General features: G+C 37.2%; 1 long non-coding RNA gene across 10 annotated transcripts in view, besides 1 other annotated feature; it reads left to right on the top strand.

The window, feature by feature from the left end:
* The window catches only part of PELO-AS1 (PELO antisense RNA 1), a 127,387-nt gene that overhangs the window by 21,297 nt on the left and 78,213 nt on the right, over positions 1 to 27,877 (top strand). For 2 of the 10 annotated variants that reach the window (NR_186452.1, NR_186448.1), the window contains exons 3-4: positions 8,901 to 9,077; positions 12,707 to 12,911. The exons of 6 other annotated variants lie outside the window; for them this stretch is intronic. This is a non-coding gene — a long non-coding RNA (PELO antisense RNA 1). Of the gene's footprint in view, positions 1 to 41; positions 4,200 to 8,900; positions 9,078 to 12,706; positions 12,912 to 27,877 lie in introns of those variants that run through there. 2 more of the 10 variants (NR_186453.1, NR_186454.1) reach the window with 2 other exon arrangements.
* Positions 4,996 to 5,513: an enhancer, noted in NCBI's record as "NANOG hESC enhancer chr5:52069838-52070355 (GRCh37/hg19 assembly coordinates)". NCBI's record gives its function as "activates a minimal SCP1, AML or CMV promoter by ChIP-STARR-seq in primed H9 embryonic stem cells {active_cell/tissue: H9 hESC(primed)}" and the evidence as "EXISTENCE:reporter gene assay evidence [ECO:0000049][PMID:30033119]".

The following is a 27,877-nucleotide window of genomic DNA, read 5'->3' as shown; positions in this document are numbered from 1 at the left end:
CATTTTAATTTGTTGTATTTCCATTTTCCCTCACTTCCTAGCTCTGTGGTAGCTCTGAAGGTGAATGGCCTTGGAATCCTGAAAATCAGCAGTCTAGCAGCCACTGGAGGTGATGGAACAGTAGTCTGTCTAGCAGCCATTGGAGGTGACAAAGCAGCCACTTTTGGAGCTCCTGTAAAACCCCATCCTGAGAAAAGTATTGCTATTTGACCTGTATTGCAGGCAATTTCTTGAAAAGCTCCATTCTCAAGAGTTATCTTTATTTGGACTGTCTTAGAGCTAGCTCTATAAAAGCAGCTATATTTCAAGTAAAAAAAAAAAAAATCCGTGGCAACTGTATAACCCCACAGCAATCTGAGGCAGCAATACCAGTCAAGGTATTGGTGACCAAGTAATCTGAAAGATGTCCATAGGGAACTTTAGAAAGGTTGTACATGTTCCAGAAATCAAGAAGTACATGTACATGTGTGGGTCTGTGCATACGGCCTGGAAAGACCTGAGATCCCAATCTCTCACCTCTGGCTGAACTTAAGGCTTTGTGCCATCAGGAAGCAATAGCTAAGGTAGAGTTGTGAAATGCCCACTGGCACATTGAAGATGTACTTGCAACACAGAGAGAGAGCCCTTCAGCAAAGGTTAGGAGACTGATTGTTTCTTTAAGATATTAAAGAAAATCTCTATTTAATTATTAATTAACCATTAAGCTAATGAAGGAGAGACTTAAGTAGCCACAAAAAGACTTTATAGAATTAGTCCAGGAAAGTCACTAAATAAACACAAATCATCATTATCATCATCAGCAGCAGCAGCAACAACAGCAACAGCAGACAACAATAAAAATAAGCTCCAGTGTGAAGAATCTGAATTAGATTTTTCATATTGTAACATTTTAAATTTCCAGTTCAAACAAAAAAATACTACAACGAAATAGGAAAGTATAACCTAAACAAAGTGGGGGGAAAACAGCAATAGAAATCATTTGTTAGGAATCCCAAATGTTGGATTTGTTAGAAAAAATTTTGTGAGCCACCACACCCGGCCCACAATTTTCTAATATGTGTTAATGCTATGTGACAAAATGCCCTGATTCCTACTGCCAAAGGTTCAACTTAATGTATATACCCCAAAACCCATGCATTTTTGCTCTTTTTTGTTTTTTTAATGGTTGTTGAAGTAAAACAGCCCATCCTCTTCAAGTCCACCTATGTTGTTCCTTAGGCATTCTATCTTTGCTCAAATTGTTGAAGGATGGTGGTTTGTTTCACGGTTTTTTTATTTGAGACTAATGAACATTCTAACATGATAAAGGCAATTATTACTGTGTAGCCATGGTTTTCTGAAAAAGATATTTTAGAAATTGTATTTCATATCTTAAATAAAATTTGTTTCTAAATTTCAAAGCTAAAAAAACCCCCAATCAAGTCAGCAAGTTAAAAGTCAGTTTGGTTGTGTCCTAACATTTGAAACACACACATGACTGTTAGTGTGTACACACACACACACACATACCCCTCAGCACATAATCCCCACAATATGGCAACGGTCTATGCAGAAACACAAGATGAGGTTATTTTAAAATGCTTACCTATTTAGAATGAATCTTTGCAATATTTCTCTCTTTTTCTTCCCTTAGTGACTTTATATTACTGGTTCATAGGCTTCTAAGTAATATTGTCTTTCACCATTGTTTGAAAAGATTTAGTCTCTTTCCAAATTTGTGAAGTTACCAAGTTCATAAGAAGTTATGAAGTTCATAAAGTCTCACAGAAAAAATAAGTATTATCTGCATGACGTTTTATAATTAATTTAGAATTTGTTCCATTTATAGTTATATTTGAATTCAGCATTCCCATTAGGAAGGCTAGGTAGATAGCCTAGTTTTAAGAAATTCAGAGCAACATAATAAATAGAATTGCTACGACTGAAACCCAAATCTGGAAATTTTTCGTATATATATTTTTTAAATTCTGTGTACCCACAATCTAGGAACATTTTAAAGATCATTTTTTAGATAATTTCCACTACGCTGATATTTTAATTCTTGTCTGTTTGTAGTAAATATACACAAAATATCAAAATAAATCTCTAGGACACATCTGTTTCCTGTTCATTGTGCACATCATGTTATAAGCTTTTGGAATGAAAATCGACATTTGAAAACCTCAAGAAATGACAATAGCAGCAGCGATGATGTTTTTCAGCTCTCACTGCTAATGTGGGAACTGATTATTTATTTCAAAAGCTTTTATAAAATAAAGCAAACCTTGAATATATTCAGCTAGGAAATAAACCTTGAAATTATATGGTTACCAATAACAGTAAATTAGAGTTTCAACAAATAACTCAGTGATTTTCTTAAAAATGCTAAACATTTCTTAAATACTTGCCCAGATTGTTTTTGTTAATTTTAAGATGCTTTCAAAAGTTTACACCCATGCGTGTGCAACATATATACATATATTATTCTTTCTTTTAGGTAACGCAGTTGGTTAAAGGACCAGAACGCATTCCTAAACAAGTGTACGTTTTAAAATAATCTTATGTTATAAGCAGGTTGCCAACTTTTGATTTGGAATAGTTTGTTGAAGTTTGCCTTTTGATCTTAACTAGCTAAATTAAGATAGCTTAAATTAAGAAATTAGGAAATCTAAATTAATTTAGATTTTTTAACACCTTAAAAGATCTATTTTAAGGACTTGAAAATTAGAATTCTTTAGATGAGAAAACATGCCTAACATTCCTTATTTGAAATGGAAACTATTAATATTTAAACACATATCAGACATCAAGGACTAAAAAATTATGCTAAGGTAAAGATGAAATTATCTCTATTTCCTTTCCTCTCTTCCTTCCCTTTCTCACTTCCTTCAAGGGAAAGTTTCTGCAGCCTTTGGCTCTTTTTTGTAGAAATCAAAGATCCCTCGCTAGGAATGAAGTCTCTCTGGTCACACACATAAACATATGCATGTAAATATATATGTATGCATGCATTTATATATGTATTCACCTCCCACTCTGTCAGCCATGTCCCAACAGGTATTAAAAGTTACAGCAGCAGGAGTTTGGGTAACATGAAATAAAGGAGATGTTTACTGAGGTGTAGACAGATAAGAGGAAACCAGCAAACCATCTTGAGTCACCAACTCTTTGCACCCCCAGACCTCAAAGTGCAAAGGAAGGAGCTAGTATTACCAGTGAGAATTAGAGTCTTGAAAGGGAGTGGGTGTCCAATAGAAGCTGTCCTTGTGGAAGGCGCCAGCCAGTGGTTTGAGATGGGGGAGGGTAAAGTTGTGTGTAGGGTTAGAGGGAGCTAGGGAGGGCATAAGAAATGTTTGACATCTTTCTTTTTCTGCCCTCCAATATCCTGCCACTGGCTCCCACTGGCCTAAGCTTCCAGGCGGCAAGGGGATCCCATCCATATGGATCAGTCCTCCTGCAACAAAAAGCTGGGTGGAAAAGGGTCCAGAATGGATCTAGGGGGCAGTGGCAGCAAATGGAAAATAACCAACCCCCGTCTCCAGTGCTTCATTTTCTCAGTTTGGCTGCCTACTGGCCAGGCAAACTAACCTCTCACAGCTCTGACTGTGTGCTTAGGTAAGTGACCATTCCTTTATCTGGGGCTACAACATGAAAGCAGGCAAGGTCACCCTCTGTCCCGGCTTTCAAGCCCTAGACCTCATATTATGGGTATTGGTGCTTGGGGGTGTTTTCCAACACTTCCCTCTAAAGTTAGGTTCCCCATTTCCCAGAGTTAATTGACCAGGATGAGTCAAAGTCAGGACAGTAATCATCTTGAAGGAGAGATCCTGGGGGTTCTTATACAGAACTAGGTATCAATTCACTTTCATGGAGACCAGTTATTCTCCCAGAATGACCTTTAACTCATGTGGGCCACAGTCCTCTCCAGTAACTTCGATTAGATAAGGACTTTGGTTATCATATTGGTTCATACCTCGCAGCTAGTAGAAACTCCCCAGAGGTGCTAAGGTACTCTGTGCTCAAAACATCAGTGTATGTATTCCAATGAGACAAAAATTCACCAGGCTAGTAAGGCCCTTGTCCAAAGCTCCAAAATATTATGTTTCTATAAAATGAAAAATTTTTTATATCAAACTCATTATTCGATCTTGGTTAACACTAGAGGTTCAGAGCGTATACACTCTTCGATGTATATATATGAAATAAACTTTTCTGTATTACTTTTGTGTATTGCTCTGTTTCTCATTTTAAGAAAGAAACTGTTTTGCTTCAAGATGCTGGAATAGTCCTTAAAAATATGATCTGTTTGGTATCATGTAAACATGGGCTAACATGAAGATAATTTAATATTACTAAACATTGTTAAAGAATCTGATTTTGCCTATGCTTTGAAGGTTATCAGACTCACCTCTCTAAGAGATCAGGGAAAAACTGTAGCTAATGCATGGAAATTAGCCGCTACTTTCCACTGAATGACACCGTTGATCCAATGTACTGCTGTTAAGCAGAATTAAATTCTTCCAAAATATGGAGAAAATTTTGACCAAAAAATTTGTGATTGCTATTACTACAGTATGTCCTGTAGTTTTTCTCTTAGTCAAAAATATAGTGATTTTTGTTTTTGTTTGTTTTTGTTTTTAAGATGGAGTCTCGCTCTGTCACCCAGGCTGGAGTGCAGTAGCGTGGTCTCGGCTCACTGCAAACTCTGCCTCCTGATTTCAAGCAATTCTCTTGCCTCAGTTTCCAGAGTAGCTGGGACTATAGGAGCCCACCACCATGTCTGGCTAATTTTTGTATTTTTAGTAGAGATAGGGTTTCGCCATGTTGGCCAGGCTGGATGACAAAATTAAAGAAGAAAAGAATTCAAAAAGAGAATGCTTAAAACATTCAAAACTTACAAAATAGAGGAAATAAGGACATAAGAATGTTCTGCTGTAGAATGAGTGAATGAGCAGCCCTTGAGATTTTACTGCTTGATGGCTCAGAGTACTCAAAATTATCTTGTTTGTTACAATGTATATAGAGAAAGATCACGAAATATCAGCTGAAATCTTGTCTTTAAATTCAGATTTTAACTGGATTGTTTATCAACCCAGTGATAAACAATGAGGTCTTCTTTTAATTGTTGTGGTAGAGACAGGGGTGGGGGCATGGAGACGAAGGGCAGGAAATGTTAAGGAAGGGCTGGTTGCCTAGCCAGACAAGTCAAAGGAGGTAGCTGGAGATCAGCGCAACCTAAAGGCATCACAACCTGCTGTGAGGGCACAAAGGAAGGGACAATGAATATGTTTTTCTGAGTAGCTGAACAAGAGGATTATGAAACGTTCCCATGCAGGAACAGGACTCTGAAACCCGGAATTTTGTTTCAGTTGTGAAAACTCTGGGGTCAAGGGGAACACAAATAAATCAGTGCTTTTATGTCACTTGAGAGAGGCTGATAAAAAGCTGAACTACCGAGACAGGGACACAGAGCAGGGAAGAGGGGTGGCACAGAGGTAATCTTGTGCAGAGAGAGTCTGAAGTGGAAGAAGTTCATTTAAATGCAGTTTGAAATTGTAATTTAAAACTTCTAAACATATATTCATATAATCAATAAACCTTTAAATTTGCTTATCACTAGGTTCTACCACTTGTTATTTAGGAACCTGCATGCAGTCTTTAGAACAGTGGAGAGAATCAGGGAAGCTTGCGCTTTAATTTTTTATCTAATTCACTAAACTAATAAATACTTACAGAGTACCTACTGTATGCAAAGCATTATAAGACTGCCATAAGATATCACTTAATATCCATTTTTCCTTTAATTTGATAAGATTTTTTTCATGCTAGTGTCTGTTTTAGATATTTTGTTATATATGCAAAAAGGAAACAATTATCAAGGTGTTTTATAAAGATAACTTTCCTAGAAAAAAAGCCATGACCTGCTGAAAAAGTTTTGGACTGCCACGCTATGACATAAAAACTCAGCCTTGTAAACAAGGATTTCTGGAAGTTTGATATACAAGGTCCTCCACCCATTTTCCTGTCACACAGGATGTAATGGCTTTTGTTATAATGTAGTGCGACACTAAATAACTGGTGATCACTGAGTGTGTTACTTATTATTTCAGTCACTCAAAAGAGCTACATTTACAAGAAATCAAATGACCTTTAATAGATAGAATGTACTGATGTCAAATTTTTAAAAACCAAGATTACGTTATGAAACTTTTCAGGCATAAAGTTTCATATATGCCAAGAAAAGCTTTGTTCTGAAAAACCCACATTTATAGTTTAGGTTCATATCTAATAATTTTCTGTAAGTCAGAATTAAGATCTAAAATCCTGCCTTGCTTAATCCGTGCCTTCTAATATAACTTCTGCTAGAATGAACTGTCATTTAACAGAACTTTTTTTTTGCTGTGTTGATGACTTACTGGGAGTATTTTAACCCAGTAGCTTACTCAAATCACATTATATTGTCATTTTATTGAGCTTTAGTTTTGGAACCAAGATTTTACATGCTGTTGATGAATATATCTACTGCAGTCTGTGTTATAATTGAGTTCTGGTTTTTGGACCATCAGTTAATAAGAGAGATTAATTAATCACATTTGTTCCCCTGTTGGCATTGATTAAGTCCACAAGAGTATGGCAGGACTGGGTAGAGATGAAGATTATTTATCTAATGTGCAATATTTGTTTAACACTAATCTGCTAGTTAAGTGACTGCTGCTCTTGGAGAAGAGGATTTGTACACATAGTTATTCATTTAGTTTTCAGAATTTATTGGGCATCTACTATACCTGAAGCCATTCTTGAGTATTAAATAAGATCAACAAGTCCCTGCCCTCATGAAGTTAATTTTTGTTGTGGTTGAGAGGAGATAAACAATAAATAAATAAATACATAAATGAGAAAACATGTCATATAGAAATAATGTTACACAAATAATTACAATAGAAGAGTGGCCACTTTCATTTGAATAGTCAGAGAAGACATGTCTAAAAATAACACTTAATGTGCCTTTTGAATGACAAGAAGTCAGCCTTGTGAAGATCACATAAGGATCATCTAAGTTTATCTGAAAAACAAAAACAAAGTAAACCTAAACAAAATTGTTTAATGTCCCAAATTTCCCTTTACCCCTCCTTAATGAATGTGTACACCTTTGTTCAAGAAGGCTGGTGAATATGTATAGATTTTGAGCAAAAGTATTATTAGAGAAATAACTCCAGGAGCAAGTTGCACTGAAGGTGAGTTATTTGTCGAGGCAAATATAAAGTAAAAATGAATCATGCCATGAATATGTGGAGGTTGTAAGAAGAAGAAGAACTTGAAAAAAACAGCGATTCCCTTTTATTTCTCATCTTTCTCTCTTCCAGACCTGAAGATGCAAAGTATTAGCAAGTGCAGGACTTCAACAAAGAGCATGTGCTATTTACGTAGGGAGAGGAGGAAACTGTTAGGAGATTCAGGTCACTTTCACCCACAGTTAGTGTTATCATTTTATTTAGAATCTGGAATTGTATTCTATCTTGTGAAAAGTAACTTTAAAGAATTAAATTGAGTATGTATATCTTAGAGTTAAACATTCTTTAATCAACAAGAAGAGGTGAGTAACAATCCAGTTGTATGCCTCCTGACTCTCTCTTCACAGTGACAATGGATTTCTCTTTTCTTTTCTTTTCTTTTTATGAGTGAACTAGTATGAAAGTATCAGTTTCTCTTTTACACTGTGGTTTCTCTATCTTTCGCAGAAGTCTGAATGTGAAGCCTCCAGTGGGCCGTGGCTTGTTAGGGTGCATTCTCCATCTCAGAGCCACTTATCAATAGCTCTTTACAATTGGAAAAAAAAACTCACAGCAATAAATTTGCTTACTAACTGGAATGCTTAAAACTTAACTAGGAAAATCCATGAACCAACTGTTTTCCAATTATAGTTTGTGGTACATAAGCTGAAATTACAAAAACAACAACAACAACAACAGGTGAATTTGGCTCATGTTCAGAGTCAGCACTGTACCAGCGCTGTTCTGTACAATCCAGAACACTTGTGCCAAGTGTCCAAGCAGAAAAACCATGCCTGGCCTTGAGAAATGGAGTGGAGAATCCATTAGTATTTTGAAAACCTGTGGGTTTAATTTTAAATGTCTGTTTATGAGGATTACCTGGAATCTAGCCTTCCCCAGAAGAAAGGGGGAAAAGAAAGGCATTTCCTTTTTTTAAGCAGAAAAAACACAAATCTTGCAAAACTCCATTTTGAAACACTATGCTCCATTTGGTGTAAGGGGTATTAAAGCATCTTTGTGAAGATTTAATGCATCACATTCTATTGTTCAAATTACCAATATTTTGCTAAGAAAGTGTTTAATAGTCTTTATTGTTCCTTTTGAGACAAAATAAATCCATGCTTAAAAAAATGCAAAAATTAGACAGTAAATAAATACGAAAATAATGTATAGTCTTGCCATTAAGTGATAACCTCTATTAGTAACATTTATAGCCTTTAGAACTTTTTCTACGCAAAAGCCAGGTACTGTGGCTCATGCCTGTAATCCTAGCTACTTAGGAGGCTGAGAGAAGAGGACCACTTGAGCACAACAGATAGAGGTTGCAGTGAGTTATGATCATGCCACTGCACTCCAGCCTGGGTGACAAGAGTGAGATCCCATCTCTAAAATTAAAAAAAAAAGTTAATGTTCTATACATATATATGTAGTCATAAAAATGTAACCATATTACGTGCATTATGTTCTTGCAGTCTGTTTTTTATTATGTAATTTCACTATGTAATCTGTTTTTAATTATGAACATATGTTCATGCCATTGAATATACATTGACACCATCATTTTTAATTACAACATTTCATTACATAAATTTGCCATGTTATTTTCTGTTGGCCACTTAAGTAATTTCAAATTTTTCTTATCATAAACAGTGTTTTAATTGACATACTCATGTACCTAATCGGGTACACAGAGTGCAACAAAAGCACATGTAATGGACACTTAGCCCAGTATAAGGAAGTTAGCAAAAGGTTCTCAGAAGCGGAAACCTCCAAGATGAGACCTCAAAGCTGAGATCTGAGAAGCCCATCTGTAAATGATGAAGAAAAGTAAGCCGAACACCTTTTCTGAACCTAAGCTGAACACTCTTTTTGTTTATTCTTAATCTTTCTTTAATTATTAATTTAGTACAATATTTAGTTTCATGTTCTCACTGACCCTCAGAATTCAGAAATAAATCTTCTACTCTTTTCTCTCTTTTTCTCCCTCTCTGTCATATTAATAACAATGTGGTTATTTGCATAGGAACAATAAAACTTGTTCTCCTATTTTTCTGGCTATCATTGAATGAACTGATTATGCAACCAAGTTATTTGAATGTTTTGGAGTGCCGTATTTAGGAACAGTCTCCTTTAGTCAGATATAAAAACTGCATCAATAAAAAATAACGGTTGTGCTTAGGTAGACATACAGGATCAATGACTACAAAGCCATATGAAGAAACTGGTCAGATATCTGTTTTATGGCTTACAAAGGTCAACCTTACAGTTAATAAATTAGTTCACTTCCTCATAGCCCAGAAACCCTGACTATTTGGCGGGATCTTTTATTTATTTATTTATTTATTTATTTATTTATTTATTTATTGAGACGAAGTCTTGCTTTGTCGCCCAGGCTGGAGTGCAGTGGCTCCATCTCGCCTCACTGCAAGCTCTGCCTCCCGGGTTCACGCCATTCTCCTGCCTCAGCCTCCGGAGTAGCTGGGACTACAGGTGCCCGCCACCACGCCCAGCTAATTTTTTGTATTTTTAATAGAGTCGGGGTTTCACCGTGTTAGCCAGGATGGTCTCCATCTCCTGACCTCGTGATCCACCTGCCTTGGCCTCCCAAAGTGCTGGGATTACAGGCGTGAGCCACCGCGCCAGGCCCGGGATCTTAAAAAAAGAAAAGTTGACCAACGTTTTTCCCATATGTACTCATTAGAATCTTAACCATACCGTCTTCTCTATAGAACCTCAAAAGGTGATCATGGATTGATCATGAATCATGGATTAATGTGCCTTCAGTTTGGCCCAGTAGTTAGGAAAACCCAGGAATTACAAAGATCAGTAGAGAAAATAGTAAAGAAACATGAAAGATGAGACTCAAACATCATGATTTAAGTAAGAGACAGAAAAAAAAAGTAAAGGCTAAGTCAGACCCACATGAAAGATAAATTTCCACATTATAACACAGCTGTGGAGGGATCATGACATGAGCCAGAGAAAATTCAAAGTCAGGGATTAGGATTCCTAGATCACAAATAGTGATGTGCTGTGCTGGCTTTAAAATATTTCTGGCAGGGCGCAGTGGCTCATGCCTATAATTTCAGCACTTTGAGAGGCCGAGGTGGGCGGATCACCTGAGGTCAGGAGTTCAAGACCAGCCTGGCCAACATGGTGAAGCCCCCCTCTAGAAATATTAGCCGGGCGTGGTGGTGCATGACTGTAATCCCAGCTGCTTGGGAGGCTGAGGCAGGAGAATTGCTTGAAACTGGGAGGCGGAGGTTGCAGTGAGCCGAGGTCATACCATTGCACTCCAGCCTGGGAGACAGAGTGAGACTCTGTCTCAAAAAATAAGTAAATAAATAAAATAGTAATAATAATAATAAATAAAATAATGTTTCTGCCAACAGTTCAGTCATAAATCAAATAGGAATGTGGGCAAAATTGTATTAATATTTGCTTATTTTAGGTTGTCTAGAATTTTATAAATGGGTTTTGTTTAGATCATAGGAAATTATTGGCATATGAGGCAATACTTTTGTCTGTTGCCTCTATTTTGGGTGGGGTAGGTGGGTGACATTTGTATTGTGGCAAACAAACACTGCAGCATACAGGATACAGGTGCACAAAAGCTCAGGGTAAATAAGAGGAGCTAGAGGTTGTAAAGAAATATTCTACAGCAGGTCAACTCTGTCCATCTGACTTCCAGTGCAGACAGTCTGACATTTTTAGCAATATTTTAAAGACCAAAATAATGAAGTAAGTGTTTACCAGAAAGAAAGCTGAGAAGTTGGCTCAAACTTTGAAAAATTAATTTTGCTTTTTTCAGATAGAGCACTGTGATGAAAGAAGCTTTCAACAGTTTATTCAGATTCCAAGAGAATGTTGGTGTGCCTAGTGTCCAAATTCACCAGACAAGTTTTGCTGTGATTTTCCAAGCTAGGTTCATTTCATTATATGACAAAGGAAATGATCACCATTGTAAATAATTTTTCTGCCTGTGACCATATCTTACCAGTTTATGCAGGAATTTCAAGCAAAGTATGAAAAATTTGCTAATTTTTGTGCTATCAGGAAGATAGGAGGTGAAAGCATGTTGAAAAGAATTTAAACTACAAATTGATACCAAGGAATTTTTGGAGTTCAGAAAATCTGCAAGAACCAACTTGTCGGACCCCCCAGGACTCATAGTATGATTCTTGTTTCTTACTGATGTAAGAAGAGAATGCCACAGATTAAACTTAAAGTTAAGGGACAAATAAGCTAGACAAGAATAGCTCTGCTTTCTTTAAGGAAGTGAAATATTCACATTCAAACTGAACTTGTGGATTGACTCAATGCACATTTATTTCCTTTTTCTGATATTCCCTGAATTCAGTAGAGTTATAGATTGCCTAGATATACAGATATGTTGGGGTAAACAAAGGCCCAGTTATAGAGGAAGTTCTCAAGTTACAAGAAATCTGAAACACACTTTAAGTTCTGGCAGAGGCTCTTGGAAAATAAAGCTCAAGTTTTTTTTTTTTTTAATAATTACAGAAATGTGGTATATCTATAAGCCACAATATCCAAAGAAACTGATGAAACTGTGTTATGGTTTGAAGGTGTTCCCCAAATTTCATGTGTTGGTAACTTAATTCCCCAAATCTTATGTTGATGGTATTTGGAGATGGGAGATAGGAGATAATTAGGAGTAGATAAGGTCATAGGGTGGGGCCCTCTGATGAGACTGGTAACTATGTAAGAAGAGGAAGAAAGACTTGAGTTGGCATGCTGTTGCCCTCTCCTCATGCGATGCCCTTCACCATGATATGAGGCAGCAAGAAGGCCTTCACAAGATGCCAGTACCATGCTCTTAGACTTCTCAGCTGCCAGAAATGTGACGAATACATTCCTTTTCTTTATAAATTGCCCAGTTTGTGGTATTCAGTTATAGCAAAAGAAAATGAACTATGACAAACTGTAAGTGAACTTTTCTTAACAAGATGACATACTAATGCCATTTGGGAGATGAGTATATCTGTTTTGAAACTAATGATATACTCAGCTTATGGCCAAACACCTAGAAATTACCAACATAAATCAGAAAGTCATCTTTGGTGATGTTAACCTAGATTCAGAATTGGAGTGAGTCCTGAAAAATATTCTTTATCAATTTTAGGAATAAAAGATTCAACCCACACTAGTGGATTTCTGGTTACATGATGTGACAGTTAATATTGAGTGTCAACTTGACTGGATTGAAGGATGAAAAGTATTGTTTCTAGGTGTGTCTGTGAGCGTCTTGCCAAAGGAGATTAACATTTGAGTCAGTGGTCTGGGAGAGGCAGATCCACCCTCAATCGGGGAGGACACCATCTAATCAGCTGCCAGCATGGCTAGAATAAAAGCAGACAGAAGAACATGACAGGGTCTGATTTGCTGAGTGTTCTGGTCTTCATCTTTTCTCCTGTGCTGGTTGCTTCCTGCCCTAGAACATCAGACCCCAAGTTCTTCAGCTTTTGGACTCTTGGACTTACACCAGCGGTTTGCCAGGGGCTCTCAGGCCTTTGGCCAGAGACTAAAGGCTGCACTGTCAGCTTCCTTACTTTTGAGGTTTTGAGACTGGGACTGATCCACCACTGGCTTCCTCGCTCCTCAACTTGCAGACGACATATCGTGGGAGTTTACCTCTTGATCGTGAGTCAATTCTCCTTAATAAACTCCCTTTCCTATATACATATATCCTGTTTGTTCTGTCCCTCTAGAGAACCCTGACTAATAGACATGGTCATTGTTGAAAATTACCTGAAACAAGAGGCCGACTTGGTTAGGAGTCCCTTAGCATAGGCAGTTCCTTGAGATGTGGGAAAAAAAAAAGTAAACTTTTTAAAAATATAATTATATAATCTAATTTAGGCTAATATTTATATTCTGAAAGGGAATAATCTCTTGGTCACAGAGGAAGCTTTAAAAAAACATGAATTTCTCAGTAGTTCTTGTTTTGTTTTCAGAGACAAGGTTTCACTCTGTTGCCCAGGTTAGAGTAAGTGGTACAATCGTAGCTCACTGCATCCGTGATCTCCTGGGCTCAAGTGATCCTCCTGCCTCAGCCTCCCAAAGTGCTGGAATTGCAGGCATGAGCCACCATGCTCAGCCAGCTTTTTTATGTACCATGTGGTCTCATCTTACTTTCTGTTTTTGTCCTGTCTGGCTGTCTCCTCTATTCTCATTATTATCTGGACAATCTCATTAAATTAAAATTGAAATTTTAAACATATAAAAATTAAAATCTTATAACATCAAAAATTCAAAACAGAGCAAGTCTGGTTGCCATAATAAAAAGCTAGGTCACTCCCTAGCTTAGTGGGTTCAAGTTGTAGTGCCCTTAGGCCAAGCGCCTGGCAATGTCACCATGAATGGCTACTTCTTTGCAAGGAACAACTTACAACTGTTTCATTTATTGTGTAGTTGGTGGGTGTTAATGTGTGTTGTGTGATGGGTTGGTGGTGAGCAAGGAAGCTGCAGAGACATTAGGCATGAGATGTGTCTACTATGAGTTAGGAGTATTAGTAATAGTCTTTAGAGGAGAAAGCAAACAGGAAGCCCACAGCTTTCAATTACTATATATGAAGTGAGTTAATAATCATGACTATAAAATAGGAATCACAAACTCAAGTAAGGCTATGGGCTAATATATGAAAAAAAACAACTAATTTTAGTTGTTTCTACACAGAAACATATTGTATGCATATTAAAACATAATAATATAATTAATACAATATAATTAATTTATAAAATAAATGTGATTCTTCTCACTGTATTCTTTAAATTCATTATCACCTTAGTTTATTTTTTCCCCAATTTTGATGATGACATGAAGACACAAAACTATTCTACTTTAGTAAGATAAAAATGATGATCAAATTAGTATTGATTGGAAACTAACATTTTCTGGTGAAAAGGACAGAGAGAACTGGGGTGAACAGAAAACTCTAGGCCTGTATAAAGGGAGTAGTTGCTACTTGATCCAATTGATTGCTGCCATTTAAGAAATGGGCTTGTATTGCAAGATCTTCCAGTGCTCTAAAAAACAAAGACATTTGAAATGTTTTAAAATTAGAAGTCTTCTTTTATGTGCTTTTTTTTCTTCCCCTGAAATCCTCCAGGAAAAATTTTTCAAGGGAAACCTATTTGGGGGGTTGAAAACTATCCATGGTTTTCTAGCTTTTTAGCCATGTCTTGGAGAAGATATGCTAAAGTTCTCCCTTTCTTTTTATATTTTTCGTAGATTTATAACTCTCTATCTCTTTTTTTTTTAATAAGACTTTATTACCTACACATTGTGATGGTTCATTTTATCTTTCAACTTAACTGGGCCACAGGGTGCCCAGATATTTGATCAAACATTATTCCTTGTCTTTAAGGTACTTGTGGATGAGATTAACATAAGTTGGTAGACTGAGTAAAGCAGATTGCCCTCTCTAATGTGGGTGGGTCCCATCCAATCAGTTGAAGGCCTGATTATAACGAAAAGCCTAAATAAGAGGGAACTTCTCTTACCTGACTGCCTTCATGCTAGAACATCAGTTTTTTTCCTGCCTATGGACTTGAACAGAAACAATAATTCTTCTTGGGTTTCAAGACCACTGGTTTTCAGACTGGAGCTATATTACCAACTCTCCTAGATCTCCAGCTTGTTAACTGCAGATCTTGGAACTTCTCATCCTTCGCAATTGCATGAGCCAATTTTTCATAATCTCTCTGTCTCCATACACACACACACACATATATATATATATATATATATATACACACACACACACACATATATTTATAATATCTACCTATCTCTATATATGTATATATGAGTTATTATATATATAAATATATATATAAAGTTCTCTCTCTCTATATATATAAAGTTACTCATTCTGTTTCTCTGACAATCCTAATACACATAGTGATTAGAAAAGTGGGCTTGTTGGGAGATTGAAAAGGAGTTGGCTTCCAGGGAAACTCAATTTAATAGACTGATTTTTGAGCAGATATTCCTCTTATAATAAAGTAAATAGTGAGATCTTAAAAAAAGAAAAACAAACCAAATCCTTGAGATTTGAAATCGGGAAGAAAGAGGTAAGCAGAAAAGATTTGTCAAGTTATATATTTTTGTCACTATGTGACTTTGAGCCAGCCACCTCCCTTCGGTGTAAGTTGCAGCATCTGTGAAATTAAGGCCTAGACTAGATCAGATGTTTTCAAACTTGTCTCAACTTAGAGAACCTACAGTTAGAATTCTGTTTTCCAGATATTATAGTTTTAGTGGAATGCCATGTAATCATTATTTTTAATTTTTTTTAGACAAAGTAGGGGAAATTGCCCTAGTAGAAAATGTAATTCAATATAGGCAAAAATAGAATTACAACCATTTGATCATGTCTATGATAAATCCAGCTATTGCAATAAACATTTCTAGGATTTTCTATTTCTATCTGCTTGCTTCTTGTTTATTAATTTTTGACATCTTAAAATGCTTGTTAGTTGTATTAGTCCATTTTCATGCTGCTGATTAAGACATACTTGAGACTGGGTAATTTATAAAGAAAAAGAGGTTTAATGGACTCAGTTCCATGTGGCTGGGGAGGCCTCATAATCATGGAGGAAGGTGAAAAGTATGTCTTACATGGTGGCAGGCATGAGAGAATGAAAAGCCAAGTGAAAGGGGAAACCCCTTATAAAACCATCAGATCTTATGAGACTTATTCACTACCATGAGAACAGTATGGGGGAAACTGCCTTCATGATTCAATTATCTCCCACCTCACCCCTCTCACAACAAGTGGGAATTATGGGAGCTACAATTCAAGATGAGATTTGGGTGGGGGCACAGCCAAACCATATCATTAGTTAAGTGATTGCAGTGCCAATACCGTAAGAGAAATTTATGAGAAAAAAAATTGAGAAAACTTTTTCTATTAGCTTTATGTTTTCGGAAAATTGGATAAAATATTGTGTTACTTTATTTTATGGTGGGAAAACTTGGTCTAGCTATTGTGGGAACATAGTTTGAGGCCCACTGGAGTAGTGTTTCTTATAGCCTCTCCCAGCTGTAACATTCGATGTGTCTACAATTTTTTTTTCATCTTGGAATAAATGTATGTTTTACTTTAACTAAGTGACATAATTTCCATGTATAATGTTTGTATTATTTTCTTTTATATATATACATATTTTTTATTATACTTTAAGTTCTAGGGTACATGTGCACAACGTGCAGGTTTGTTACATATGCAAAAATGTGCCATGTTGGTGTGCTGCATCCGTTAACTTGTCATTTACATTAGGCATATCTCCTAATGCTATCTCTCCCCCCTCTCCCCACCCCACAACAGGCCCCAGTGTGTGATGTTCCCCTTCCTGTGTCCAAGTGTTCTCATTTTTTAACTGTGGCCAAGCAAGATTCATGACCTCTTAGTTGGAGAGAAATTCTCTTACAAACAAAATATAGCTGTGGGCTAATTTCTGTTGTTGAAATTGAGGAAAAAAACATTGGAGGACAAGTGCAATAGTTGAAATGCATGCAAACTTTGTCCTAACAACAAACCTTTAGTGGTTTAAAACTTCTTTTTCATCAACTTTCCACTCAGAAAGCTTTATTCTTCATTTTATTTATTTGTTTTAGTGTCTACTACCTATTAAGAAATTCTCTATATGTTGTGGATAAAGCAATGAACCAAACAAAACAAAACAAAATCCCATCTTAATGGAGCTTATATTTTGGTGGAGAGAAATAGACAATCAATAAAATATAAAAAATAGTATTTTAGATAGTTAATAGTTTAATGGAGGAAAATGAAGCTGAACTAGAGAAAAGGGTGTATGTGAGGGGTGTGAGTGGCAAATTTAAGACACGGTAATCAGGAAAGGTTTCATTGCAAAGATGATGTTTGAGCAAAGGTGGGAGGAAGGTCTATCTTAGTTCTAGCTGTTACAACAAATTACCATGGACTGGGTGACTCTACAACAAACATTTATTTCTTATAGTTCTGGAGGCTGAAAATTTCAACATCAAGGTACCAATAGATCTCATTTCTGCTGAGAGCCCTCTTTCTGGCTTGCAGATGACCATCTTTTGGTTGAAACCTTACATAACGGAGAGCATAGAGAAAGAGATCCTGTGTTACTGCCTTTTCTTTTTTTTAAATAAGGGTACTAATTGTGTTATGAAGACCCTGCCCTCATGACCTAATCTAACCTTGTTACCTCCCAAAGGCCCAATCTCCAGATACCATCACAATGGAAATTAAGATTTCAACATATGAATTTGAGGGAGACACAAACATTCAGTCTATAAGAAGGTCTATGCTAGAATGTAGGGTAAGAAACTTATAGCAGAAGGTCCCTAAGGCAAGAGCATCCTTGGGAAGTTCAGAAGACCACTCTGTTTGGAATGGAGTGATTTAGGCAGACAGTGGTAGAAACATGAGGTCAGATTATATAGGGACTTAAAGGCCATTTAGATGATTTGGCTTTTATTCAGAGATGGAAGCTAGTAGAGGATTTGGGGTAGAAGGGTAGCATTAGATGATACATTTTTAAAGAAATTTTATCATTATTATTATTATATTTGTACAGACATGGCCTTGCTATGTTGCCTAGGATGGTCTCAAACTCCTGCACTCAAGTGATCCTCCTGCTTCAGCCTCTCAAAATGTTGGGATTACAGGTGTGAGACACGAGGCTCTGCCAGACACATTTTTTTAAAGCATCACTCTGTGCTCTTTCCAGATATCGTACAGTTTTAGTGGAATTTTATGTAATCACTATTTTTGATTTTTCAGACAGCGTAGGTAAAATTGCATAAGTAGAAAATATAATTAGATATAGGTAAAATATAATTACAACCATTTGATCATGTCTGTGATTGTATTAGTCCATTTTCATACTGCTATGAAGAAATACCCAAGACTGGGTAATTTAAAAAGAAAAAGAGGTTTCATGAACTCACAGTTCCACATGGCTGGGAGGCCTCACAATCATGGTGGAAGGCAAAGAAGGAGCAAAGTCAGATCTTACATGATGGCATGCAAGAGAGCATGTACAGGGGAACTCCCCTTTATAAAACCATCAGATCTTGTGAGACTTATTCACTATCACTAGATCAGCAAGGGAAAAACCCGCCCCCATGATTCAATTACCTCCCACTGGGTCCCTCTCTTGATACATGGGGATTGTGGGAGCTACAATTCAAGATGAGATTTGGGTGAGGACACATCCAAATCATATCAATGATAAATCCAGCTGTTGCAATAAACTTTGCTGAGGTTTTCTATTTCCATCTGCTTGCTTGGTGGAAATATATACTATATGTCCAATACTGTGCTGTGGCAAGGACTGACACAAAAAGAGAAGTGAAAAGACAATTTCAATAATCCTGTTATGGCATGATAGTGGTCAGAACATGGTGAATGTGATGAGAAGTTGCTAGGTTCTGAATGTATTTTAAAGATAAAGTCAATAATATTTGCTTGAAGAGATCAGATGTGGGGTGTGAGAGAAAGAGAGTTGTTGAGTGTGACTCCAAAGTCACCAAAGGCAAACTTTCTTATTTGCAAATATTTCTGTGTAAATCTCAACATCTTGTGAAAGTATGTGATTATATTACACTCCTTGGAGTTCACTGTCAGTAGCCCGTTGTTCCCTCTTCGTTTCAGAGGATAATAAGATCAGAGCCAGGACTGGGACCCACATCAAGATTACCTACAGCCTGTTGGGTTACAAGGGGACTATCTACTCCTATGAGTTCACCATCCTCCTATCCTATATGGTCCATAAATTTCTCTCTGATTTTTGCTACCCTTGCATGTGATTGTCCATCTGGTGCCCTGAGCTGATTCATACCAGTCCTTATACCAACTTATATGCTCTGTCTCCCTGGATCCAGGGCCATCATCACACTTATCACCCGAGTCTTCACTTTAGTTGTTACAATAGGATTTTATCCAGAGTAAGTTTACAAATACCTGGGGCATGAATGATGGTTGAAATTTGCTCTGTGAGGAATAAGCAGGTAAAGCCCCAAGTGCTAAACAAATGTTAATTATTTATTATTATGGTTGTAATTATAGAGATGTATTCAAGGAGTAACAATGATTTAATCAAGGGTTTATTCCTGCTCTGTAGAGCTATCCTGCCCATTACAGTAGCCATTAGCCACATGAAGCTATTTAATTTAAAGATAATTAAAACTAAATAAGATCAAAAATTTCAACTCCTTAGTCCCAGGCATATTTCCATTATTTAATAGCCACACATGGCTAGTGGCTACTGTATTAGACACTGCAGAATGAGGAACATTGACATCATTGCAGAAAGTTCTATTGGAGAGTGCGGCTCACCTGTGTGAGAGGAAGTCAGAATTGGGGGGGTCACCATGCCATTCATATGAACAAGTTTTCACCATAGGTGAGTTGTCCTTCCTTATTTATGTGGAAATCTTTGGGAATTTCTTATGCCAGTGACCATAAGCTACATCTCCAAGGGCTTTATCACTATTATTATTTTATCATTATTACTATTATGTTTGTACAAACATGGCCTTTACCTTTATTCCTTAAAATATCTGTTAAAGGCAATCTTATGTGCATATGTGGGCGTGGGAAATCAAGAGCCTCACCACACTGCCATGAGGTATTCTTGGCTTTGGCTTGGTACAGCTCATAGAATTATTCAAATGACCCTTCCCTGAACTTAAAAAAATTAATGTACATTTTAAAGAAAACAAATCCCACATGTTTTAGTGTATTTATACTTGTTCTTCCAGCTTTTGGTTTGAAGAGGACTGTGGTATCTGAAAAATCTTTGGGAATTTTCACATGAAGGTTTACATTAAATTTCTTCTCCAAAAGAGGAAGTTAGGTTTGGTCATTGGTAAAGTATCACAGAATCCCAAATGTTTTGTTTTGCCTTCAAAGCTCAGATTTGTCCATTTAGAGTGGGTGTCAAACTTGGCAGGAAATCTTCTTTCATTCATGGAGCTTAGATCATTAACAAATTCTTCTAAAAAGAGAAAGGATAGTGTTGAATAGTTTACAGTAAAAATGTTCAATTATTAATTATCATTTGTATGTAAATTGCAAACTAGGGACCATACACACTGTTGAGACTCTTCAAAAGGGCACAATCTGAGCTGGGGAAGCCCACCACTAATTGTCACCTTGGTGATAATGCAGTGAGCAAGCAAAGCTACAGTTGAGTGCCATCAGACTTTAGGATAACATCTGACATCATCCAGAGCTTTGTGAAGTAGCCCCGCCAGACAGTCATTACTAGCATAGCGGATCCCATGACCCTACTACTCTGGCTATCATTGATGGGTCTACAGTGGGCCCAAAGTTGGCTAATACACTGAAAGGTATCCAGGCTTGTAGAGCTCACTCCTTATACTGGATGGTGTTTGGCCAGTAACACCAGTTCAAAACTAAATTACAAAATTCCTACTATACATTGCGACTCACTTTACATCAATTATTATGCAATCACTTCCTTTTTTTTTTGAGGTGGAGTTTTGCTCTTGTTGCCCAGGCTGCAGTGCAACAGCACAATCTCGGCTCACTGCAACCTCCGCCTCCCGGGTTCAAGTGATTCTCCTGCCTCAGCCTCCCGAGTAGCTGGAATTACAGGCATGTGCCACTACGCCAGGCTAATTTTGTATTTTTAGCAGAGATGGGGTTTCTTCCTGTTGGTCAGGCTGGTCTTGAACTCCCGACGTCAGGTGATCCGCCTGCCTCGGCCTCCCAAAGTGCTGAGATTACAGGCATGAGCCACCTCAATTCAGTATACTCAAAATTGAGTACACTGAAGCTCAGTTTATTGGAGTCATGCCTATAAGCAGGGTCACACGGAATTTTTTTACTCTCATGTTTGCTTTCTTTCTAACAGATTACACTTTACTCTACTTTTCTCTTTATATTTGAAGCCCTATAGAAAATATTATATGAGCTATAGAAGGAGATGTAGAAACTGAGACAAGGTCTACCTGAGTCATCATAATAGGGGAGCAAATGGTGCCTGTGGGCAAAACTGTATACGCAAGCAAACAGGAGAATTGGTGGCGTTTTAGTCATCCCTGAGGCCGGATTTGCGTGTGTAGCTGTATCTTAAATGATATTACAGTCCTTCAATTCCTTGAATGATGTCTGGTCATCAGGCTGTTGAAAATATTTCCTGTTCTTTATCCCCACAAACCCCTTTGACAAATCCATTCACTGGGGAACATTGCTGGTATGCCTTTAAATCTGAAATCTCCTGTCCTTTTAATGAACATGCTATATCGAGTCATTGTGAATTCTAACTTAAGTGTTCAAAGTTAAATTGTCTAATACACACTCTGATTTATAATAAGCTCTGAATAAATGTTAGTTCTTTTCTAGTTCCTTCTTTGTATTTCTTTTCACTTAAAAATATTAATAAGTAGAGGTTTTGTTATTTTTATTCTAGTCCAGCACATGGTATTAGCTTCTTCCTTTAATTATAAATTCCATTTCATAACAATTGAAAATTCCAGGGAGTGCATGTCAGGGAAGTTATTATAGTTCATTTGAGGATAAAATCATCGGCATTTGACCTTATGTCACCATTTGTAGCATGCTACAATGTCTCAGAAATATATCGTCTTGTCAAGGCCTTCTTACTTAATTAAATCTTCCTGTAAATTTATTGAAAGGCAAAGTAAGTAAATAGCAGCTATTGAAGTGGTAATAATGATTTTGCATTCAACAGAATCTTAGACATGAATATTGAAATAATCAACATCCAGTGATAATGCAAAATAAGAACAATGTGTTTGAAGTGTCCTATTTCTCTTTTCATAACCAACCCGCAGCCTTGTATATCATATCCCATCTTCTGGTGCTCCAGGAGGAACGATTCTATTACTGCCCTCACCAACCTAAGTCCTAAGCCCTATGGCCATTCAACCCAGCCAGAATTGAGAAATGGGGTCAAATTCATTCCTGAACATTTACGTAGCATTTTCCTCATTGCACAGTACTGGCCTTAGACCTGAGCAAGCAGGGACCCTGTGCCTCACAGAGCCATGTACTTTAAAATGCTTTCCTCAAAGTGTTCTATGTCCCCCTGCAGCAGTGCCTGGAACCAGCTGGGGTCAGCAGTGTCATCAGGGAGGGCTCAAAATACTGCTTCAGCTTTTTCTCTCCTCTGTAGCATTCTATATGACCCCCAATCACAGCATAGACAGGGACAGAATGTTACCCCGGCACCATGGAGGGTAGGCTCCAGTAAGATAAATAAATGACAGTTACTGTGAGAGTCTGGGGGTGGGAGCTCTATAGAAAGACCCATTTTGGCCTGATTCTCTCCACTGAAAAAATGGATTTCCAAGAGAATGGGAGGAAACAACAGAGTTGTGTCTTAGTGTGACGGGAGTTATTGATTCAGTCTGACCTGGTGTTCCAAGGACAGACCCAGGCCCTGATGCATGGCTTTGAGGGAAAACCCAAGAGCTCACCTCAAGCTGTGAACTCTGGGCAGGGAGAGCTTGAAAGCCCTATCCCTGAGTTGGGAAATTCCCTTTTCCTAAAGAAACCCTATGAAAATTCCACTCCAGCACCCTATGGTAGCAACTATTGCAAAAACATCCAGTGTCAATCACAGTGCTCTAAGGCCAACTTCAAAGGGTATCTTCACTGGTGAAGACAGAAATTCACTTCCTTGAAGCTTGCTATCTTTTAAAAGAAACATCTAATTGTCACCCTGCCCGAATAGCCCCCTATTTCTCTAAGATCAACCAACCTCTACTTTGTCCTTGAGAAAACTTGTATCCACCTGGAGAAAACTTGCTGATCAGGGATAATGGTTTATCTCAGCAAAATCTCTTCTGCTTCATGATTGATTTTTTTTTCTTTTACTATCTACACTTGGATATGCATAATAAAATATAAAACCATCTAAAAAATTTATCGCTGTCCAGTGCAGTAATTCTCTCTTCTCTCAACTATGATAAGAGCTGTCAGGGTTTACTTACCCAGTGAATAACCTTCCACCCCGTCACTTCATTACTGTTGTTTGAAATTTCAATTTTATGTTTTTATTGAAGTTTAAACATTATTTATTTTTATTTTTATTTTTTGAGACAGAGTCTAGCTCTTGTTGCCCAGGCTGGAGTGCAATGGTGCGATTTTGGCTCACTGCAACCTCCGACTCCTGGGTTCAAGCTATTCTCCTGCCTCAGCCTCCTGAGAAGCTGGGATTACAGGCATTCACGACCATGCCCATCTAATTTTGTATTTTTAGTAGAGACGGGCTTTCTCCACATTGGTCAGGCTGGTCTCAAACTCCTGACCTCAGGTGATCCACCCACTGGGCCTCCCAGAGTGCTGGTATTATAGCCATGAGCCACCGGGCCCTGCCGAAATTTAAACATTATTTTAAACTTTAGAAATTATTTTTCATAATCAATAGCCAATTAACATATTTTATCATTGTTTTATATTTCTTCTTCCAGATTCACTTGTCCACCAACTAAAGCACATCTTAAATAAGAACTGTGTGTGTGTGTGTGTGTGTGTGTGTGTGAATGTGAGCATAAGTGTATCTGTATGTGTGAGTGTATATGAGTGTGACTGAGTGGATTATGTATGTGTGTGCGTGTGTATGTAGACTTTGTATATGTGAAAATATCTAAAGATATTTTAGTTTTGAATGATTTTTAGACTGGGTATAAAATTATAGTTCGGCATTGATTTTCCCTTGCCTACTTTTACCTATTTTCTTCTGGCCTCCATTTTGCTAATAAATAATATCCTGTTAAATTTACTGTCATTATCCATAAGTAATCATTCTTTTTCCTCTGCTAACTTTTGAGATCATATCTTCATGATTTTTATAATGTATTCTTGCAGAGATTTATTTTTTATTTAGTAGCCTTGTTTCTTTGCCTCCCTCTGAAGCTGAAAATTTAGTCCTTCTGTAATTATAAAAACTTCTCAATAATCATTTCCTTAAAGGTTACATCTTCACTATTACTTTTTTTCCTTCAAGAACTCCTATTTTGTAAATGTTGGAGACTCTCAATCTGGCTTCTTAACAATATTTTCCTATTTACCTCTTTGTCTTTTCATGCTAGAATTCTTCAGTTCTATGTTCCAGCTCATTAATTTATTCTTGGGCTTTATTTTGTCAGAAAATTTCTCATCTATTGCATTTTCAAATTCATTGACAGTTTTTTTTCTTTCCAAAATTTCTAATTAGCATATCTATTTATCTATCTATCTATCATCTGTCATTTCTGTTCTTGCTGTGTTCATGTTTACTTTTATTCAATAATTTTGTATTCTATTTAAATAGCTATATTTTCTGTTATCTCTTTGACAACCTCAACATTTTTAAGTCTTTGCCAAACTCTTCTTCGAAATACATATCATATAGAAAACTTCATTAGCTTGATTGTTGATTTTGTTGACTGTATTTTCTACATATGTTTTAAAATTTTTGTATGCTGGTTTACTTTGAATATTCTCTCTCTCTTTCTCTCTCACTCTACACACACACACACACACGCACACACACACAGACACACACACACACCCTCCTCTGCCCGGTTCCCATGCTGCTCACTCTTCCTGGTCTAGGCATTTTGTGGTTGCCTCTGTACACTTTTAGTCTCCAATACAGGACTAGGTTTTATCATCACAGTTTGGAGTTAGCAGCCCTATGGAGCAGTGAGGAATATGAGAAATCTAGGCTGCAGCTTGAACGCAGCTTGATTCAGTTTTAGAGAATGAAATTGTGGTTGTTTTCCTCGGTGACTCCTTGGACCCACAATTTCTATGTGCCCTTAGCTCTATTCAGCTACATTTAATAACGTTTAATAGACATTACATTCTTCCTACTTCCTTTTGCAAGGGGAGGCAGCTCACCAGATTTCAGCAGCAAGTGAAGCTCAAGTCTCCCCAATTATGAGAGGACTACTATTATTGACCTTTGAGCTACCATTGCTTAGTGCTTTGCCACAACTACGTAACTTAGAAAATTGTGACTTCAGCTTTGATTCACCACTCTGTTTCTGTTCTGTTTCTCACCCATGTAGATATTTGTCTTATATTTGAGTCCAGCTGTGGTGTGTGGTGTGTGTGTGTGTGCATGTGTGTGTGTGTTTAACATTTTATCATTCATTGCTGTGTTAGGAAGAAGGTTTCTTGAAGCATACATTCTCAGCATCCTGTTGGCCCAGAAGCCTCCTTCTCTTTTTTCAAGCTTCTTGAAAAAGTAGTCTATTTGCAGTATCTCCATTTCTTTCCCATCAATTAAGACTTCTACTTATAATCAGGGGTCTGCTCCCATCAATGTAACTTCTCTTGCCAAGTCAAAGAAGACATCCAATTTTTCTCCGTATTTTCTCTTTGGTTGTTAATATTACCCCTCCCGACTGTCATGCTTATTCTTATAATAAACCTCCCTTATTTGTATAACTTGAGTGAGCTTCTGTTACTTGCAAACAAAAAAAACCTAATGACCAGAGCACTGCAAAAAACTAGTCCTTCTAACATTTCAAGGAAAGTCTAGTTATGCTTGTCACTTGCATATAATGCTTTACTGACTCCCCATCACACACCTGTGAGATAAAAGCTGTAATTCCTTAGTATGACATTTCTCATATTCTGCACACTCCTTCTTTCACTCCCTATCACACTCACCTTCAAACCCCATCTTACACCCAGCACCAAGCACACATGCCTCCACCTCTTTGCACATACTGCCTCTACCCCTTGCCTGCAATGTCCTCCTCTTTTTGCCTTGTTCTCATGAGAAACTCCTAACTCTTCCAACAGCTAAGTCAGGTATCCGGATGTATTCCTTTAAGGATATGTTTCCTACATATAGTCGACAATGTTTAAGATACATTAATTGAAAGACTTTTGTACACATTATCCTGGGTGTTGAGCATTTAATAGCGAGCAACAACAAACATGCTTCATGCCCAAATGAAACTTATTTATTAATGGAGGAGATAGGCATTAATCGGATAATCTATGGGTAAATGGAGGGATGCCCCTGTGACCAGTGCTGTCATGATAGTCAAAGTGCCATGCAATCCTATAATTACAAAATGTGACCTTGTGGGGATATTGTTGACATTCTTCAGAATTAAGCAGCCCCTCCTCCGGTATTATGTGCATGGTTCTGTTGTTACGATTATCAAAATGAATTTAAATTTATTTGTTTATATGTCTTTCTCTACCCCTAAACTTTGAGGTCCTTATTCATTCCAAATCTCTGTCTTGAGCAGAGTATCTGGCACATAGTGGGCATATATTGAAAATGATAAATGACAAAATGTTTTCTGATTGAGTTAAAGTATAACTTTAATCATAAATCGTACAGAATTTTACAGAGAATTTTTTATTCTAGTATTTACTTTCTCTAGAACAAGAAGTTCTGCGTCTAGTTGCTTTGCAAAAGAGGACAATTCTGTAATAATTATAAGCTTTTTCACATTCTTTCTTATAGGTCAGAGACTAGTCTAGCAGTTGCTTGCTAACTTTGAGGCTGGAAAATAGGGAACAGCATTAACTAGCTTAATTATAAACTATTTGAAAGGTCAGAGCACAAGAGCCCAGAATACACTACTGCCTTTCAGAGAATGGAAAGTGATGAACAACTGCTTGATGAAATAAATACTGTCATGAGGAGAGCAAAAATAGCCAAACAACTAGATCAAACATTTCTGAAATAAAGAAGAAAATGATATGGCAATGTTAAATCAGTCTTTTATGATTTTTTGATTTTGTATATTTTTAAAGGTTATAACAAAAATGACCAGAGAATGGATGATACATAGTTATTAGTTCATTTCTTTATATGAAATTAAGTACATTAAAAATGGTCTTTACAAAACCAAAATTATTTCCATATATTTCCACCCCACCCTCTTCCTTTACTAAACTTGGCCAAAGATAGAAATTGTGCTTTGGGTTTTGATTCATTCTTCCTTCCTAGTGATCTTCTGTTGAATGCTTCTCTAGGCAGCTGCCTCACAAGACTCATAGCCCAGAGCTGGAACCTGTAGCAGCCACAAGCAGGCTAACTGTGCATGGTCCATTTTTACATGTCTCACACAAAGTCCTGGTCCTGGGATGTCCTGAGAGGTCTCTGTAAGATTTAGAGGTGGCCCAGAGGTCCTCTGACCCTTTCTTATCCTTTGTATTTATTTTTACCTGGTGCTATGGTTTGAATGTTTTTGTTCTCTTCAAATTGCATGTTGAAACTTAATACCCAATGCAATAGTATGAAGAGGTGTGGCCTTTATGAAGTGATTGAATGGGATTTAGGTGCCCTTATTAAAGGACTTGACAGAGAGAGTTTGTCCCCTTTGCCTTTCCACCTTTTGCCATATGAGGACACAGCATTCGTCCGTTCTGGAGGATGCAGCAACAAGGCGCCATCTTGGAAGCAGAGAGCGCAGCCGTCACCAGACACCAAATTTGCTGGGGCCTTGATCTTGGACTTTTCAGCCTTCAAAACTGTGAAAACCAATTCTATTAATTTATAAATTACCTAGTCTGTGATATTTTGTTATAGCAGCACAAATGACTAAGATACTTGGACAGCTTAAGATGTCAATAAACTCCCAAAAAGGTACCTTA

Source organism: Homo sapiens, chromosome 5, assembly GCF_000001405.40.
Source record: "Homo sapiens chromosome 5, GRCh38.p14 Primary Assembly".
In the NCBI taxonomy this organism is placed as follows: Eukaryota; Metazoa; Chordata; class Mammalia; order Primates; family Hominidae; genus Homo; species Homo sapiens.
This window is presented reverse-complemented; position numbering and strand designations above follow the sequence as displayed.